The 16749-nt window shown below is 39.2% G+C and overlaps 1 long non-coding RNA gene across 1 annotated transcript; it reads right to left on the bottom strand.

The window, feature by feature from the left end:
• Window positions 1–4757: 4757 nt before the first annotated feature.
• Window positions 4758–13218, bottom strand: LOC101927829 (uncharacterized). Its single transcript, NR_110814.1, has 5 exons — window positions 11650–13218; window positions 9904–10026; window positions 9620–9661; window positions 7597–7689; window positions 4758–4971 (listed from the first exon to the last, which is right to left on the bottom strand). It is a non-coding gene; the product is annotated as an uncharacterized LOC101927829 (long non-coding RNA).
• Between the last annotated feature and the right edge of the window lie 3531 nt (window positions 13219–16749).

The raw sequence follows: 16749 nt of genomic DNA, 5'->3' as shown, positions 1-16749 counted from the left end.
ACATGATTGTATATCTGGAAAACCCCATTGTCTCAGCCCAAAATCTCCTTAAGCTGATAAGCAACTTCAGCAAAGTCTCAGGATACAAAATCAATGTACAAAAATCACAAGCATTCTTATACACCAATAACAGACAAACAGAGAGCCAAATCATGAGTGAACTCCCATTCACAATTGCTTCAAAGAGAAGAAAATACCTAGGAATCCACCTTACAAGGGACGTGAAGGACCTCTTCAAGGAGAACTACAAACCACTGCTCAATAAAATAAAAGAGGATACAAACAAATGGAAGAACATTCCATGCTCATGGGTAGGAAGAATCAATATCGTGAAAATGGCCATACTGCCCAAGGTAATTTATAGATTCAATGCCATCCCCATCAAGCTACCAATGACTTTCTTCACAGAATTGGAAAAAACTACTTTAAAGTTCATCTGGAACCAAAAAAGAGCCCGCATCACCAAGTCAATCTTAAGCCAAAAGAACAAAGCTGGAGGCATCACGCTACCTGACTTCAAACTATACTACAAGGCTACAGTAACCAAAACAGCATGGTACTGGCACCAAAACAGATAGTGATCAATGGAACAGAACAGAGCCCTCAGAAATAACGCCACATACTACACCTATCTGATCTTTGGCGAACCTGAGAAAAACAAGAAATGGGGAAAGGATTCCCTATTTAATAAATGGTGCTGGGAAAACTGGCTAGCCATACGGAGAAAGCTGAAACTGGATCCCTTCCTTACACCTTATACAAAAATTAATTCAAGATGGATTAAAGACTTAAATGTTAGACCTAAAACCATAAAAACCCTAGAAGAAAACCTAGGCATTACCATTCAGGACATAGGCATGGGCAAGGACTTCACAACTAAAACACCAAAAGCAATGGCAACAAAAGCCAAAATTGACAAATGGGATCTAATTAAACTAAAGAGCTTCTGCACAGCAAAAGAAACTACCATCAGAGTGAACAGGCAACCCACAAAATGGGAGAAAATTTTCACAACCTACTCATCTGACAAAGGGCTAATATCCAGAATCTACAATGAACTCAAACAAATTTACAAGAAAAAAACAAACAACCCCATCAAAAAGTGGGTGAAGGACATGAACAGACACTTCTCAAAAGAAGACATTTATGCAGCCAAAAAACATGAAAAAATGCTCACCATCACTGGCCATCAGAGAAATGCAAATCAAAACCACAATGAGATATCATGTCACACCAGTTAGAATGGCAATCATTAAAAAGTCAGGAAACAACAGGTGCTGGAGAAGATGTGGAGAAATAGGAACACTTTTACACTGTTGGTGGGACTGTAAACTAGTTCAACCATTGTGGAAGTCAGTGTGGCGATTCCTCAGGGATCTAGAACTAGAAATACCATTTGACCCAGCCATCCCATTACTGGGTATATACCCAAAGGATTATAAATCATGCTGCTATAAAGACACATGCACACGTATGTTTATTGCGGCACTATTCACAATAGCAAAGACTTGGAACCAACCCAAATGTCCAACAATGATAGACTGGATTAAGAAAATGTGGCACATATACACCATGGAATACTATGCAGCCATAAAAAATGATGAGTTCATGTCCTTTGTAGGGACATGGATGAAATTGGAAATCATCATTCTCAGTAAACTATCGCAAGAACAAAAAACCAAACACCGCATATTCTCACTCATAGGTGGGAATTGAACAATGAGAACACATGGACACAGGAAGGGGAATATCACACTCTGGGGACTATTGTGGGGTTGGGGGAGGGGGGAGGGATAGCATTGGGAGATATACCTAATGCTAGATGACGAGTTAGTGGGTGCAGCGCACCAGCATGTCACATGTATACATATGTAACTAACCTGCACATTGTACACATGTACCCTAAAACTTAAAGTATAATAATAAAAAAAAAGGTGTAGTGCTAATTTTGAAAGTCATGGTTTTTTTTCTGCTTACTTGAAACCATATTTTATTTGTAAATTTGTATACATTAAATGAAACAACAAAATCATTATATGTTTTTCCAAAATCTATAGTTAATAGGTCCTCTTTAAAAGCCACTTCCACCCCCTTACCCTCCAACCATCACACAGCCCCAGAAAAAATCCAAATGATCTGAAGTGTCAGATGCTCATCAGTATAGACATTTTTGTGCTGGTTTTACTAAGACTATAATCTTAGGAATGCAAAAGAAACTAATCCAGATTCAACCATCGAAACTAACAGACTTCTGCATTTGTATACTACATGTTACTCATGAGTAAGAACAACTATTCTCTAAAAATTAGAAACATCACCTGGGGAGGGATACTTGATTTTTTAAAATTTTATAGTAGATGGTGCTCTCTATTCTTCAGGAGAACTGTATACATAACCATTTCTCTCATTTGCAATCACTGCTCAATGGGCTCAATCTTTTATACAAACAACTCAAAAACCTCCACTAAATTCATTCTCTTTCTCCCTCTTGATATCTACACAATCACTCCCTAAAGATAAGCCTGTTATATAGTGGAAATAGTAAATACCTACCCTTCTCTCCCAGCACTTCATCTATTAGGAAAAGAACAGATGCTGGGTCAGTCATGTGCTAAGAATGAATGACATTAACACATCAGAAAAGTTGCTAGGGAGGAACACAACCCAAATGAAAGATCAGGGAAGGGGTGAGTCAGCAACGCTGGAGGAAGTCAACATCTGTGGCTTCTTGCTGGAGGGAAAGAAACAGTCCATTATCAGTAAACGGTGCTGGGAAAACTGATATCCATGTGCAGAAGAATGAAACTAGACCCCTATCTCTTGCCATATGCAAAAATAAAATAAAAATGGATGAAGGACCTAAATCTAAAACCTCAAACTATTAAACTACTACAAGATAATATTGGGGAAAGTCTCTAGGCCATTGGTCTGAGCAAAAATTTATTGAGCAATACCCCACAAGCACAAGCAACCAAAGCAAAAATGTACAAACGGGATCACAGCAAGTTAAATAGCTTCTTCCCAGAAAAGGATACAATCAACAAAGTGAAGAGACAACCCATATAATGGGAGAATGTGTTTGCAAACTACCCATCTGACAAGAGGGTAATAACCAGAATATGTAAGGAGCTCAAACAACTCTATAGAAAAAAATGTAATAATTTGATCAAAGAATAGGCAAAAGATTTCAATAGACATTTCTCAAAAGAAGACATACAAATGGCAAACAGACATATGAAAAGGTGCTCAATATCAAATCACCATTTGATTTGCATTCGAAATGCAAATCAAAACCACAATAAGATATCATCACACCCTAGTAAAAATGCCTTATATCCAAAAGACAGGCAACGACAAATGCTGGAAAGGAGGTGAAGGAAAGGGAACCCTCATACACTGTTGGTGGGAAGATAAATTAGTAAAAACATTATGGGGAACAGTTTGGAGGTTCCTCAAAAAAACTAAAAATTGAGCTACCATGTGATCCAGCAATCCCACTACTGCATATATACCCCAAAGAAGGGAAATCAGTATATTGAAGCGATATCTGCACTCCTATATTTGTTGCAGCACTGTTTACAACAGCTAAGAATTGGAAACAACCTGTGTTAATCAAGATATGAATATATAAAGAAAACGTGGTACATATACACAGTGGAGTACTACTCAGCCAAAAAAAGAATGATATCCTTTCATTTGCAATAACGTGGATGGAACTGGAGATCATTATGTTAGCTAAAATAAGCCAGACACAGAAAGACAAACACCACATGTTCTCACTTATTTGTGGGGTCTAAAAACCAAAACAATTGAACTCATGGACAAAGAGAGTAGAGGATAGTTACCAGAGGCTGGGAAGGGTAGTTGGGGGCTGGTGGGGTGGTGGAGATAGTTAGTGGGTACAAACAAAATAGAAAGGATGAATAAGACCTACTATTTGATAGCACAATAAGGTGACTATAGTCAATAATAACTTAACTGTACATTTCAAAATTACTTAAAGAGTGTAATTGGACTTTTTGTAACTCAAAGGATAAATGCTTGATGGGGTGAATACCCTATTCTCCATGATGTACTTATTTCACATTGAATGCCTGTATCAAAATATCTCATGTACTCCATAAATACATCCACCTACTATATACCCACAAAAATGTTTAAAAATTGAAATTAGAGGAAAGAAACAGTTCATAGATCTTGCTAGGTCTCAGCTTCACTATTGGGACACCTTAAATGGAGGAAAAACTTTACATTTTCTTTGTTTATTCATTCAACATATATTTATTGAGAACCTATTATACAACAGGTGCAGTCACTAGGAACTTACAAGATAATTAGGTACCTCTTTGTATGGAGCTTGTGTTCTAGTCTGGAAACTCCATATTACACTTTCTACAAGTCAAAGATGCCAAGGGAGCCCCACATGCTTTTCTTAGAAAAATAAATTGAAAATAAGTTATTTTTATGATCTTAGACTTCAATTATAAAGCTTCTAAAAGTATCCTTCCATGGTTTAAGATAGAAATCTCAGGACTTCGGTTTCTGAACTAAAAATCAGAACATAACTTCTGACAAGTAGTAGTTCAGCCATTTATCCAAAGACCTTAGGAGAGAGGTTTTTTTCCCTCCTAAGGTCTTTAAATACATTATTTGATTTGCTCCTGTGAGTTAGGTATTGGATCCCCATCTTCAGCTGAAAAATACAGAGCTTCAGAGAGATTAAATAGAGTCCCAGAGAAGCTAAGTAAGGTCACATATCCGTTCTTTCATTTTTGTTTATTTATTGAGTATTCATACTTACACATATTTATTGGGCATCCATATATTTTGGAATGCATTTATTGGGCATCCACTATCAATCATGGTGTGTGTGTATATTAGCCAAGGTTCTCCAGAGAGACAGAGAGACTTACAGAAATTGGCTCATGAGATTATGGAGGCCAAGAAGTTCCATGATCTGTTGTCTGCAAGCTGGAAAACAAGGAAAGCCAGTGGTGTGATTCAGTCTGAGTCAAAAGGCCCAAGAACCAGGTGCACCAATGTCCAAGGGCAAGAAAGGATGAGTGTCCCAACTAAACAGAAGCAAATTTGCCCTTCCTCTGCCCTTTTGTTCTATTCATGGCCTCAACAGACTGGATAATACCCATCCACATTGGTAAGGGTGATTTTCTTTACACAGACTCCCAATTCAAATGCTGATCTCTTCCAGATACACTGTCACAAACACAGACAGAAATTGTGTTTTACCAGCTATCTGGACGTCCCTTACCCCAATCAAATTGACACCTAAAATTAGCCGTCATGGTGTATACATGCTATTCTGGACAGGAAAGAGAACAATGAACAATAGAGACACCTCCCCTCTCCCGATCCCACCAAAAGAAAACACACCTGCCCTCATGGAGATTGCCTCCTGGAAGGAAGAAAAAAATGTACATGAATAAAATACATGCTTATTAGATAGTAAAACATACTAAAGGGAAGAATAAAGCAGGGGAAAAGGAAAGGATATGTTCACGTAGGTGCTTCAATTTCAGATAGGTAAGCCAAGGAAGGACTGTCTTAAAAATATGACAGGTAAGCAAACAGCCCAGGAGGTGAGGGAGTGAGCTATGTGGTTATGGGAGATGAGAGGAGCCCTCCAGTGTGAGATTACATAAGTGCAAAGAGTTGGGAGAACACTGACCCGAGTTGGGAGAATGCTGGCCTGGGTGGGGAGGACGCTGGCCTGTTGGAGTTTAGTCATGAGACCCACGGGCTGCAGTGGAATAATCAAGGGGATAAGCAGTAATAAAAAGGGTCAAGGAAGGAAAGAGATGAAAGACCAAGCCAAAACTTCAGCATTTACTCAGTCATTGTAAGAACGTTGGCTTTTACTCAAAGCTGAATCAAAGGAGGGTGCAGGGTATTGGAAAGGTGTGGTGTGACTTATATTTTAAGAGAATCACTTTGCCCGTTTTGTTGGGAATAGATGGTAGGGACCTAAGGGCAGGAGCAGTGAAACTAAACAGATTGCTCTTGCAACAGTCCCAGTGAAAGACAACTGTGGCCTAACCGGAGCTGTAGTAGTGAAGATACTGAGAAATGGCCATCCAGCTTCTGCATGTATTGTGAAGGTGGATCCAACAGGATTTTCTGACAGATCAGAAGTGGGTTGCAAGAATAAGAAAATAATCAGAGATTACCCCCCAATATTTTTGTCCTGAATAACAGGAAGAATAGATTGTCATTTACTGCAATAAGGAAAGATAATGGGACAGAATCCTTAAACTCAGAATCCATAAGGACTGTAAACTATAGGACAAGCCTAGTTCCATGTGAATTGTAATCTAAAAGTATTGTTTTCGTTTTCACTTTTCTAAATAACAGCAAGAAAAAAGCAAGCAGAAAGCAAATAGGGAAATAGACTTTTTTTTTTAATTAGTAAGAAAGTCTTTTTATAAACCTGTCATTCTGGATTTGTTTTTCACTGTTTCCCTGGCATATTTTCTCATTTCTACCAAAATCGATGTCTTAGTTTGGGTTCTCACAATTCTCAGCAAGCAGAAGCGTGGGTCACAGAAGTGGAACAGGGGAAGAGGGTCAGCCAATGCAAGGATGCATGGTGGAGCTAGTAACAACTGTGGGCAATGAGACTCAGTCCCAGTGGGTCTCTCTGAGAAGCCATGTAAAATGCATGTCAGAATTGTCCCTGTGACAACTCTGGGACATTTTCCACTGTCTTCCACCTCCGTTAGTTGAAGGCTGTCACCACAAACATGGACTCTGCCATTCTTATGGACAGTCTTTGTGGTGCTAAGCAGCCTTTGTAGGCATCAGAGGAAGCCCTGAGGCCAAAAATCAGAGCAATATCATAGTCAACACTTGAGTTGGGACACTGTCAATGTGCATGGAATTGTCTAAGTCACCTGACCTTAAATTAGGTGGGAAGGGGGTGATATGCCATGCAAGTCATCGCAAATGACTGCTACACTATGTTATCCGTGCTTCCCTACACCTGCCTTGTGCTTTCACCTCTCTATGCTTTGCTTGCTCTGTTTTTCTTCCCATCGCACTCCCAAACCCCTTATTATCTATGAGTTGTGACCAGCAGTCAAAGTTCTGGTGAAATTTCACTTCCTTTCAAGAACCTAGGACTATTTCCAGTTAGAAGTGCCTTCCACTCTTCTTAATGCCTACAGCATGAACACCCTTAACTTTGGACACTTAACTTCAATGCCTTATGGACAGTTAAATCTTTACATACATGCTTTAGCTTGCCAAGTAGATCTGGCCATCCTGGCCACATGATGGCCAGAATTCTTTGTATCCACTCTGTTGATTTATCCTACCCCATATAAGTGGATTTGACCTTCTCTGGTAGCAAAGAGGGGCAAAGAGAACAATCAAAATGGTCACCAGCATCTTGGGTTGCATCAGAAAGCCACTAGGAGAATGAACTTCCTTTATTCTCCCCAAAACTGACAGGCAGAACAGGCAATTCCACAACTATAAACACTTGGCATATTTACTCTGCTTGAAAGTCTCTGAAAACTCTAAAAAAAGTTAAGATTTTTTTTTTTTAATGAACCCTTTTGGCCAGGTGCAGTGGCTCACATCTATAATCCCAGCAGTTTGGGAGGCTGAGGAGGGAAGATCATTTGAAGCCAGGACTTCAAGACCAGTCTGATCAATATGGTGAGACTTCATCTTTATAAAAAGAAAAAAAAAAGTTAGCCAAGCGCGGTAACATGTGCCTGTAGTCCTAACTACTGAGGAGGCTGAGAAGGGAGGGTCCCTTGAGCCCAAGAGTTTGAAGCTGCTGTGAGCTATGATCGTACCACTGCACTGCAGCCTGTGTGACAGAGCAAGATCCTGGCTCAAAGAAAAAGGTCAGGAGCACCCTTTTTACATGGCAGGGAGGGGTATGGCTTGAAATAGCCTGATTAGGTTACAAATTGAATACATCTTTCTGCTGATTCAGATATCAGGTATAGGCTAGACAAAGGTAATAGCCAGAAAACTTCATTCCTCATATATTATATTTTGCAAATGGAAGATGAGTCTACAAACACAAGAAAAATGGGTGTAGTGGCAGACTCTTCTCTCAGAAAGGCAATGACATAGGCATAACCAATAATAGTACATACGGCCTGATAGAGGGAAGACAGGTGGGAGAAGCAGGGTCCTTGAGCATATTAAGAGCAACCCTAGATGTGGTAATATCTTGGTGGTTATATTATTTTTAATATCCTTATCAGTTAGAGATCCATACTGATATATTGATGTACAGCATAAAATGAGTCTAAAATTTGCTTTTAAAAATGCCAGAAAAAAAGATCACAAAATGTTTATATTTGTTAAAGCTAGGTCATGGGTACATGAGCAAAATCTATTTTGTATATCTGAGAATTTTCATTATAAAATATTTTTTCAAAAGAGCAACACACTAGGTCAGAAACTTGTGTACAGCTGAGGTATCAAGCTGTGAGCCTCTAACTGTAGCAGCTGCTATAGCACCAATAAATAGAAAATTCATGAACCTTTATTGCTCATCATCACTCAGGCATTGCTGCATGGAGTGGGAAGGTTTCCCCACACTAGGGAACGGGGAGTCCTGGTGTAGTAAAAAATGTGATCGCAGTCTTGGTTGCCTGCACAAACTCTTCCCAGATCCCACCCTGTCTCCCTTTCCCTCTCAGTATAGTTAACAGAATGTCACAGCCACAGAGTCCCTTGCTCTTCACCATATCTGCAGCTTCAAGCACCTTGTTGACCATAACATTTGTTTTCTTGCTGACCAATTCATATTCCTCTAATCCTGCTATTTCAATACATTTAATTCTTACCCAAAAACAAGAGCATGACCTCCTCTAATAGAGTAATTTCCCGTTCATATTACTTAACTGAACAATGTTTTTTGATACTAACATGAATATCTCCCCTATTCAGTAATAACTACCATTCTGCCATTCAGCTTGTTTTCTAAATTTAATCTCTCTCAAAAATGGATTCAGGTCTGCATTGACCCAAACTCTCCTTTCCAACCAATATTTCCTTCACTTTCCAACTACCATAGCTCAGAACTAAGCAAAGGCTGATATCTAGTAAACAGTCCTTAGTTTTACTCATTGAGCTACTAACTAAATCCAGAGATTTAGGCATGAAACCTTCATTCGTTCATTCATTCATTCATTCATCCAAAAAGCAATTAACAAGCACCTATTATATGCCATGTCCTGGATCTATGAAAATAAATTAGGTGTCAACTTTGAAGAAAGTCATAATCTAACAGGAGATAAGTATATAAGCAGCTGCAATTAGGTTATTTTTCAAAATGTAGTTAGAAATATATATTTAATATGTATAATATATAGTAGACATATATATATTTCTAACTACATTTTGAAAAATAACCTAATTGCAGCTGCTTATATACTTATCTCCTGTTAGATTATGACTAACATATATATATGTCTAACTACTGTATATTTATTAAATATGTATTTCTAACTACTATATATTAGAAATATATATAGAAATATATTTCTCTGTGTGTGTGTGCATATATATATATACACACACACACAAATACACACATATATACTAGATTAAGTGGCAACATCAATGATATACTCACTTTGACTTCTTGGAGTTAGAAGGTGGAGGTATGTAGAGGAGGCTTCCCAAAAATGAAAAAAAATTTGATTTTAGCCCTACAAGATGGAATAGCAGTTCGTCAGGCATATGTAAAGAATTGGAGATACAGGCCAGGCGCAGTAGCCCATGCCTGTAATCCCAGCACTTTGGGAGGCCAAGGCAGGTGGATCACCTGAGGTCAGGAGTTCGAGACTAGCCTCACCAACATAGAGAAACCCCATCTCCACTAAAAATACAAAATTAGCCGGGCGTGGTGGTGCATGCCTGTAATCCCAGCTACTCAGGAGGCTGAGGCAGGAGAATCGCTTGAATGAACCCAGGAGGCAGAGGTTTCAGTGAGCCGAGATCATGCCATTGTACTCCAGCCTGGGCAACAAGAGTGAAACTCTGTTTCAAAAAAAAAAAAAAAAGATTTGGAGATATAAATTAGTAAAACTGTGTGAAGCTAAAATTAACAATGGGAAATCGTAAGACATAAGGTAGGAGGGGTAGAATATAAAGGTTCTAATGCTGTGTACTTTGAGACTTACTCCACAGAAAATAGAAAGTCACTAAAAGCTTTTAAGTAGAGCTGCCAAACAACAGTATTTGCATTTTAGAAAAATTACCCTGGAGTAGAGTAGGAGATGACTTTGAAAGCTTGGGGTGAGGCAATGGAGCAGAGCAATGAGGCAGCATCAGCAGTTACAGGATGATCATAGCTATTCAAAGGAGAGAAGATGCAGACCTGAATAAGGTGAATTGGACTGATCCATAAATGAATGTACCAGCCTGATTTAAACTTTTATTTTTCCCTAAAAGGGCATTTCTTCTAATAAGTTATCCTGAGCATTTTTAAGGGAAAAATCTAGGAGCAGAGGACAGATTATATGGTTTGGTTGGCTCTGTGTTCCCACCGAAATCTCATCTCAAATTGTAATCCCCATAATCCCCACGTGTCAAGGGAGGGAGCTGGTGGGAGGTGATTGGATCATGGGGGCAGTTTCCTCCATGCTGTTCTCATGATAGTGAGTTCTCACAAGATCTGATGGTTTTATAAGTGTTTGACAGTTCCTCCTTCACACTCACTCTCTCTCTCCACGTGCCATGTAAGACATGCCTGCTTCCCTTTCTGCCATGATTGTAAGTTTCCTGAGGCCTCCCCAACCATGAAGAATGGTGAGTCAATTAAACCTCTTTTCTTTATAAATTACCCAGTCTCAGGAAGTTATTTATAGTGGTGTCAGAAGGAACCATACAACAGATAACTAAGAAATCTACAAATATGGTATATACACCATGCTATTCTCTATTACTCATTCAAAGTTTCCCTTTTCTCTCCCTCCCCAAGTGCTTTCAGCATGATCAGGTTTCATGTCTGTGCCAACCTCCTATCAGCCATTTCTTGTCTTTTTTCTTTCTAATTTTGAGCTCTGACCTTTACTGTTATTCAAATCTTGGTTTTATACTGCAAAGGCTCTTAATTCCAGAATGATGGCCAAGTGAGCCAAACACATTTACCTAAGTGGACAAGAATGTGACATTGTCATGCAGCCATTGTGATGTACCAAAGTCAAGATTGATTTTGACAAGAATAAAAGCTTTCTGTCCTGCTGCCCCTGCTTTATGGGATTTTTAGGGTTTGGAGAAATATCCATTGTCTCTCCTAAAATTCTTGAATGCCCATGTAAGATTGAATGCTATTTCGATAAATAAGCCATTTAATAGTGACAGTTTATATACCAGAATTACTCAGTTGGCTGTTCTTGAATTGTTCATTTTATTTGTCAAGTTCAGGGGAAGTTAGTTTTGGCCAAGTATTTTTTGAATTTTGTTGCAAAATCAAGTTCCAGGTGGTGAGGTCCCAAATAACAGAAGATATGGCAAAAGTCTCAAAAGCATTACAGGTTTAATTAAATTAGTGTTTATTGACCACCAACATAGGTATATTCTATTATAGATAAGCTAGAGTCCATTCTTTGAGAGAAACAAGCCAGGCAATTCTTCGAGGCAGACAGTTACAGAACTGACCTGTACAGACAGGTACAGATGGTATACCAAGCAGGGTTCCTGACGTCATTGTTGCATGGTCGACATCCAATTTGACTGCTACATCCTCCTTTTCATGGAGCCTTGACCACTTCTGCCCTTCTCTCTACATCTTTTTCCTGGCTTCCAAGAACTAAAAGACTGTTCCCAGCTGTCCTAATGATCCTACTTTTCCACCATTCCAACATATCCCTTGATCTGAAATTGCCCTTTCCTTTTCCTTCTTCAATTCCCTCCAAACAAGACCTCTATTTCACCTTCTAAGTTAGGTGTTAGGAGAAAAGCAATCAAAATGCCTCCAGACTAAATCAATTCACACAGAAGTATAGGTGGTAGGAGGCTTAACTTCTATGGCAGCTTTTAGAAGACCTGTTATTCCAAATGGATCTTTGATTGGTGGGATGTGTGAAGGAGTCATTTTTGAGACGTAGGGAATCATACTTTTTTCTTATCTGTTTATGCTGGCCAGAGGCCCTACTTTCAATTTATTTTCTGCACAAAAATCCCCTTCTGAACTAAAGCCAATGCATGCTATTTGGTTTACTTATACCTTAGTGCTGTGATTCTCTAGCTTAGGTCACCAGGTCATAATAAAGGACCACAACAGGAACCTGGCTTGGTTTTACATTTCTTATAGTCTGTAGTTGAGTTCCTTCTCTAAAGCCATGTTCACACATCTGAAATTTTCCTAGATAGACTTTTATGGCTTCTGGTAAAGATAAAAGTTATATTGATTTTCTGTTGCATTGTTAACTTATCAAATAGCAAAATATTTAATTTGGAAGATAAAAAATAGTTTTAAATTTTTTCTTAAAAATGGTGGTAGAATAGTGACCACACTGCATACCCTCTTATGAGAGTGAATTAACATGGAGACCACAAACAGAGGAGTTAATTACATCTTTGTGGTATTACATCCTAACATCAACTCTGCATATGGATAAACCTGCCCTTAGAAAATCCCTAACATCCCCCATTAAAAAAAAAAAAATGAGCAATTAAGAGCCACAAACACTGTTTCTCACTAATCCTGTTACAGTGAGGTCTGCCTCCCATATCAGTTCAGATTGCTGTTTCTTCAGTTGCCCACCAGATAAAACCATGATTTGCATTCAGGGACTACATTGTAAGAAAAGTACGTTTCTTTTAATAGTAGACACACTTGGCCCTGGAATTCCTTTCAGTTAAATACCTACATAGATAGAGGTCACTGTATATTTGCCCCCCTTTGTTTAAAGAGCTAAAATTCTGTCCTCACAGTGTCTATAAGCTCGAGAATCACAGCACTAAGGTATAAATAAACTGAAGAGACTGTCCCTCATGCATGCTGTGACAGAAATCAGCTTTCAGACTAGGTGTGCTGAGTCCCAAACCTGTGCTACATCCCTGCTACAAAAACTGAAAAGCAAGCCTAAAATTCACTATAGGTTCCTAGAAAATCAAACCTTAGATATAAGACCAAGTTATACTATCTTATTCTCTCAGCAAATCCTTAATATGTTTCTTCTCTGTGCCAGGTGTTAGTTAAGCTCAGGTGATACAAAGTTGAATGAGATAGCACCCCTGCCTTCTTTGTCCCAGCTCATAGTTTAATGACATAATCAGGTGGTCACAATACAGTGTAATACAGTGCTGTGACAGAGAGAGAAGCTACAGACTGAGGGCACACAGGGCCAGGGCTCCTAACCCACCTAAGGCAAAGGGTAAGGCAGGGGACATCAGGGAAAACTATTAAAGAAGGAGGCATCCTGAGAGCTGGGATTGTATTTTTTATTTATGGTTTTATTTTTTACCTTTGTATTTTGATGTAATTTCAGGCTAACAAAAGTTGCAAGAACACTACAAAGAATTCTCATATGCCCTTTAACCAGATGTACTAAATGCTATTATATCAAATATGCTTACATACAGATATGCACATACACGCACAAACACACACACACAAATATACATTTCTTTTTTCAAAAAAAATTTGGGGCTGGGCGCGGTGGCTCATGCCTGTAATCCCAGCACTTTGGGAGGCTGAGGTGGGTGGATCACTTGAAGTCCTGACTAGGAGTTCCAGCCAGCCTAGTCAAATGGTGAAACCCCGTTTCTATCAAAAATACAAAAATTAGCTGGGAATGGCGGTGCACGCCTGTAATCCCAGCTACTTGGGTGGCTGAGACAGGAGAATCCCTTGAACCCAGGGTGTGGAGGCTACAGTGAGCCAAGATCGTACCACTGCACTCCAGCCTGGGCAACAGAGACTCTGTCTAAAAAAAAAAAAAAAAAAAAAAAAAAAAAAAATTGAGAGTAACTTACAGAAATTATGATGCCCCATTTACTCTTGAAGATTCTGGTGTATATTTCCTAAAAGCAAGGACATTCTCTTCTGTAGCCTACAAGTAACAAAATCAGGTAATCAATACTGATACAATACTACGATCTTATCTACAGACCTTATTCAAATTTCACCAATTGTCCCAATGTGTACTCTACAGCAGAAGAAATCCCCAGCTCATATGCTGCATTCAGCTTTCATGTGTCTTTAGTATCCTACAATCTGGAACAGTTTCAGATTCTTTCTTTGTCTTTCATGACCTTGTAATTTTTAAAGTGCAGAGTCTAGTTATTTAGTAGAATGTCCCTGAATTTACGCTGGGCACAGTGGCTCACGCCTGTAATCCCAGCACTTTGGGAGGCCGAGACGAGCGGACGACCTAAGGTCGGGAGTTCGAGACCAGCCTGACCAACATGGAGAAACCCCGTCTCTACTAAAAATACAAAATAAGCCGGGCGTGGTGGCACACACCTGTAATCCCAGCTACTCGGGAGGCTGAGGCAGGAGAATCACTTGAACCCAGGAGGTGGAGGTTGTGGTGAGCCGAGATTGTGCCATTGCACTCCAGCCTGGGCAACAAGAGCAAAACTCTGTCTCTCAAAAAAAAAAAAAAAAAAAAAATGTCCCTGAATTTAGTAGAATGTCTCTGGTTTGGAACTACTCTAAACTGTTTCTCGCGGTTAGATTTGGCATAAGCATTTTTGGCAGAAATATCACGAAGGTATGTTGCGCTTTTTGAGATGAGTTTCAAAGAGTGAAGAGGAATCAGCCCACATAACCTATTGCCATATTAATTTATTTTTGCATTCAGACTTGGGAGGATGGAAGACAGAAGGCAAAGGGATAGCCTATAATACTATTAAATAATATTTATCAAGTAGTTACCAAGCACTGTTTGGAATGTGTTACATAAGTTAACTTCATCATCTTCGCAACACCCTTATGACATCCTCACCATGACTATGCTTTTCCCATTTTTCCAATGAGAAATAATCAGGCACAAAAAGATGATGAAGCTAGCGCATGGTGCAGCCAGTATTCAATTCCGGGCAGATTGACTCTTGCCCATTCTGTCAGAAGGGACTTAGTGAAAGCAAAACGCTTACCAAAAAAAAGGCTTGTGTCTTCAGAACGAGTTGGCTTGGAGGTGTGTAACTGGTCCAAGCAACTGGGTGTGGCTCTCCCGCCCTCTGCTGGCTGAATCCCTTATTGCATCCTTTTAACTGCTTTTTGCTCAATTGGATGGTGACTGCAGGGTAAAACCTCCATGTGAGCAACAATCACTGAAATTTCTGCAAAACTCCTGAGTTATGCCTGACCTATGAGAATGCATAAGAATTGGGCATTCCTTCCATTTTTCTTTTTTGTGTGCCTCAGTCCCCTACCACATTCTAAAGATTGGTCAGCAGAATAAATCCTAAGCCCTCTCTTCACCAACTTCTTTTATAAAACTTCCCAGGAGAATTTTTTTTTAACTATGACAAATTTGGAATCCACTGAAGCAGTGAGAAAGCTAACGTTGAATTAATCAGAATACAATCCCCAGACAAGACAATCATTACAGATGAGAAAACCTGTAGGAAGGATGTTTGTCCTTGAAAAATATTTGAAAAAGATCCAGTGTGAAGCAGTCATCTCACAGTAGGCTCCAAAGTGTCATATAAGACAAAATCACTAGGCAAATAAGATGAAGGAGAGGAAAAACTCCTTTGAATGAGTCATAAGTAGCCTCTATTTTCAATCAAAAATCCTTTCTCTTTCCAGGTAAAACCCTGTCCCTCTGAAATTCACAAACCCCTGGGGCTTCCACAAAATTCAATTGTTTTCTCTAGTAAGAGGAAGAAATGGACGTAAAATAAAACCAGAAGACAATGAATGGGCCTTAAAAGGATGGCACACTGATTCATTCCATACATGCCAGAAATGGACCTGGCAAAAGAAAAAGAGTGTGTTTAAATTCCCAAATGATAACCTGGGAGCAATTCTGTTCATTGTGCCTGATTGCAAATACAAATATACTAGTGGCCATTATTAAGCCACATCTAATGTCCCAGGGGAAAGAACTCTTTACTGAAATTTTGAGAACACTCACACTGAACACAAGAATCCCATCTAAGTATTTACTTGATAACTTCTAGATGCCTGTCTGTTTATCTGTCAGGTTGGGAGAGACACAAATACATTTGCATATGGCTACTACCAGGCTGAAGGCTGAAACCTTTGCCCCCAGATCAAATCAAATCAGTAGATAAATGTCCCATGGTAGGTGATTGAGCTAAGCAACGACTTCTTATTTATTTTAATGAAGTATCAAGATTTCCATGAAAAATTATCAGAACTTTATATGTATAATCCATCTGGAAACTAATCCCCTAAGCTATATTGTGGCATTATTGTCACAATAACACTGCATAACAACCAACCACGAAACATCAGCAGCATTCGACATTAAGCATTTATTGCTTACATGTCTGGAGTTGTCAACTACATGGCTCCGCTGATACTACTCTGGGGCTGATGAGACTGTGTCTTTCATCATGCAGAAGCTAGGCCAGTAACGTTCTCATAGCAGTGTTCTCAGCCAGACGACAGAAACATGCAATGCCTTCTTAGACCTAGGCTCAGAAATGTCATGCTGTCATTTCTGCTGCATTCTGTTGGGCAAAGCAATTCACAAGTAAGCCCAAATTCAAGGGAAAGAGACTCTATCTTTTCATTGAGAGAAAATGCAGCCACAGAGCAAAACATGTGCATACAGT

This window comes from Homo sapiens, chromosome 3 (assembly GCF_000001405.40).
Source record: "Homo sapiens chromosome 3, GRCh38.p14 Primary Assembly".
Taxonomy (NCBI): Eukaryota; Metazoa; Chordata; class Mammalia; order Primates; family Hominidae; genus Homo; species Homo sapiens.
The sequence above is the reverse complement of the archived record's forward strand: the minus strand, read 5'-3'. Positions and strand labels throughout refer to the sequence as shown.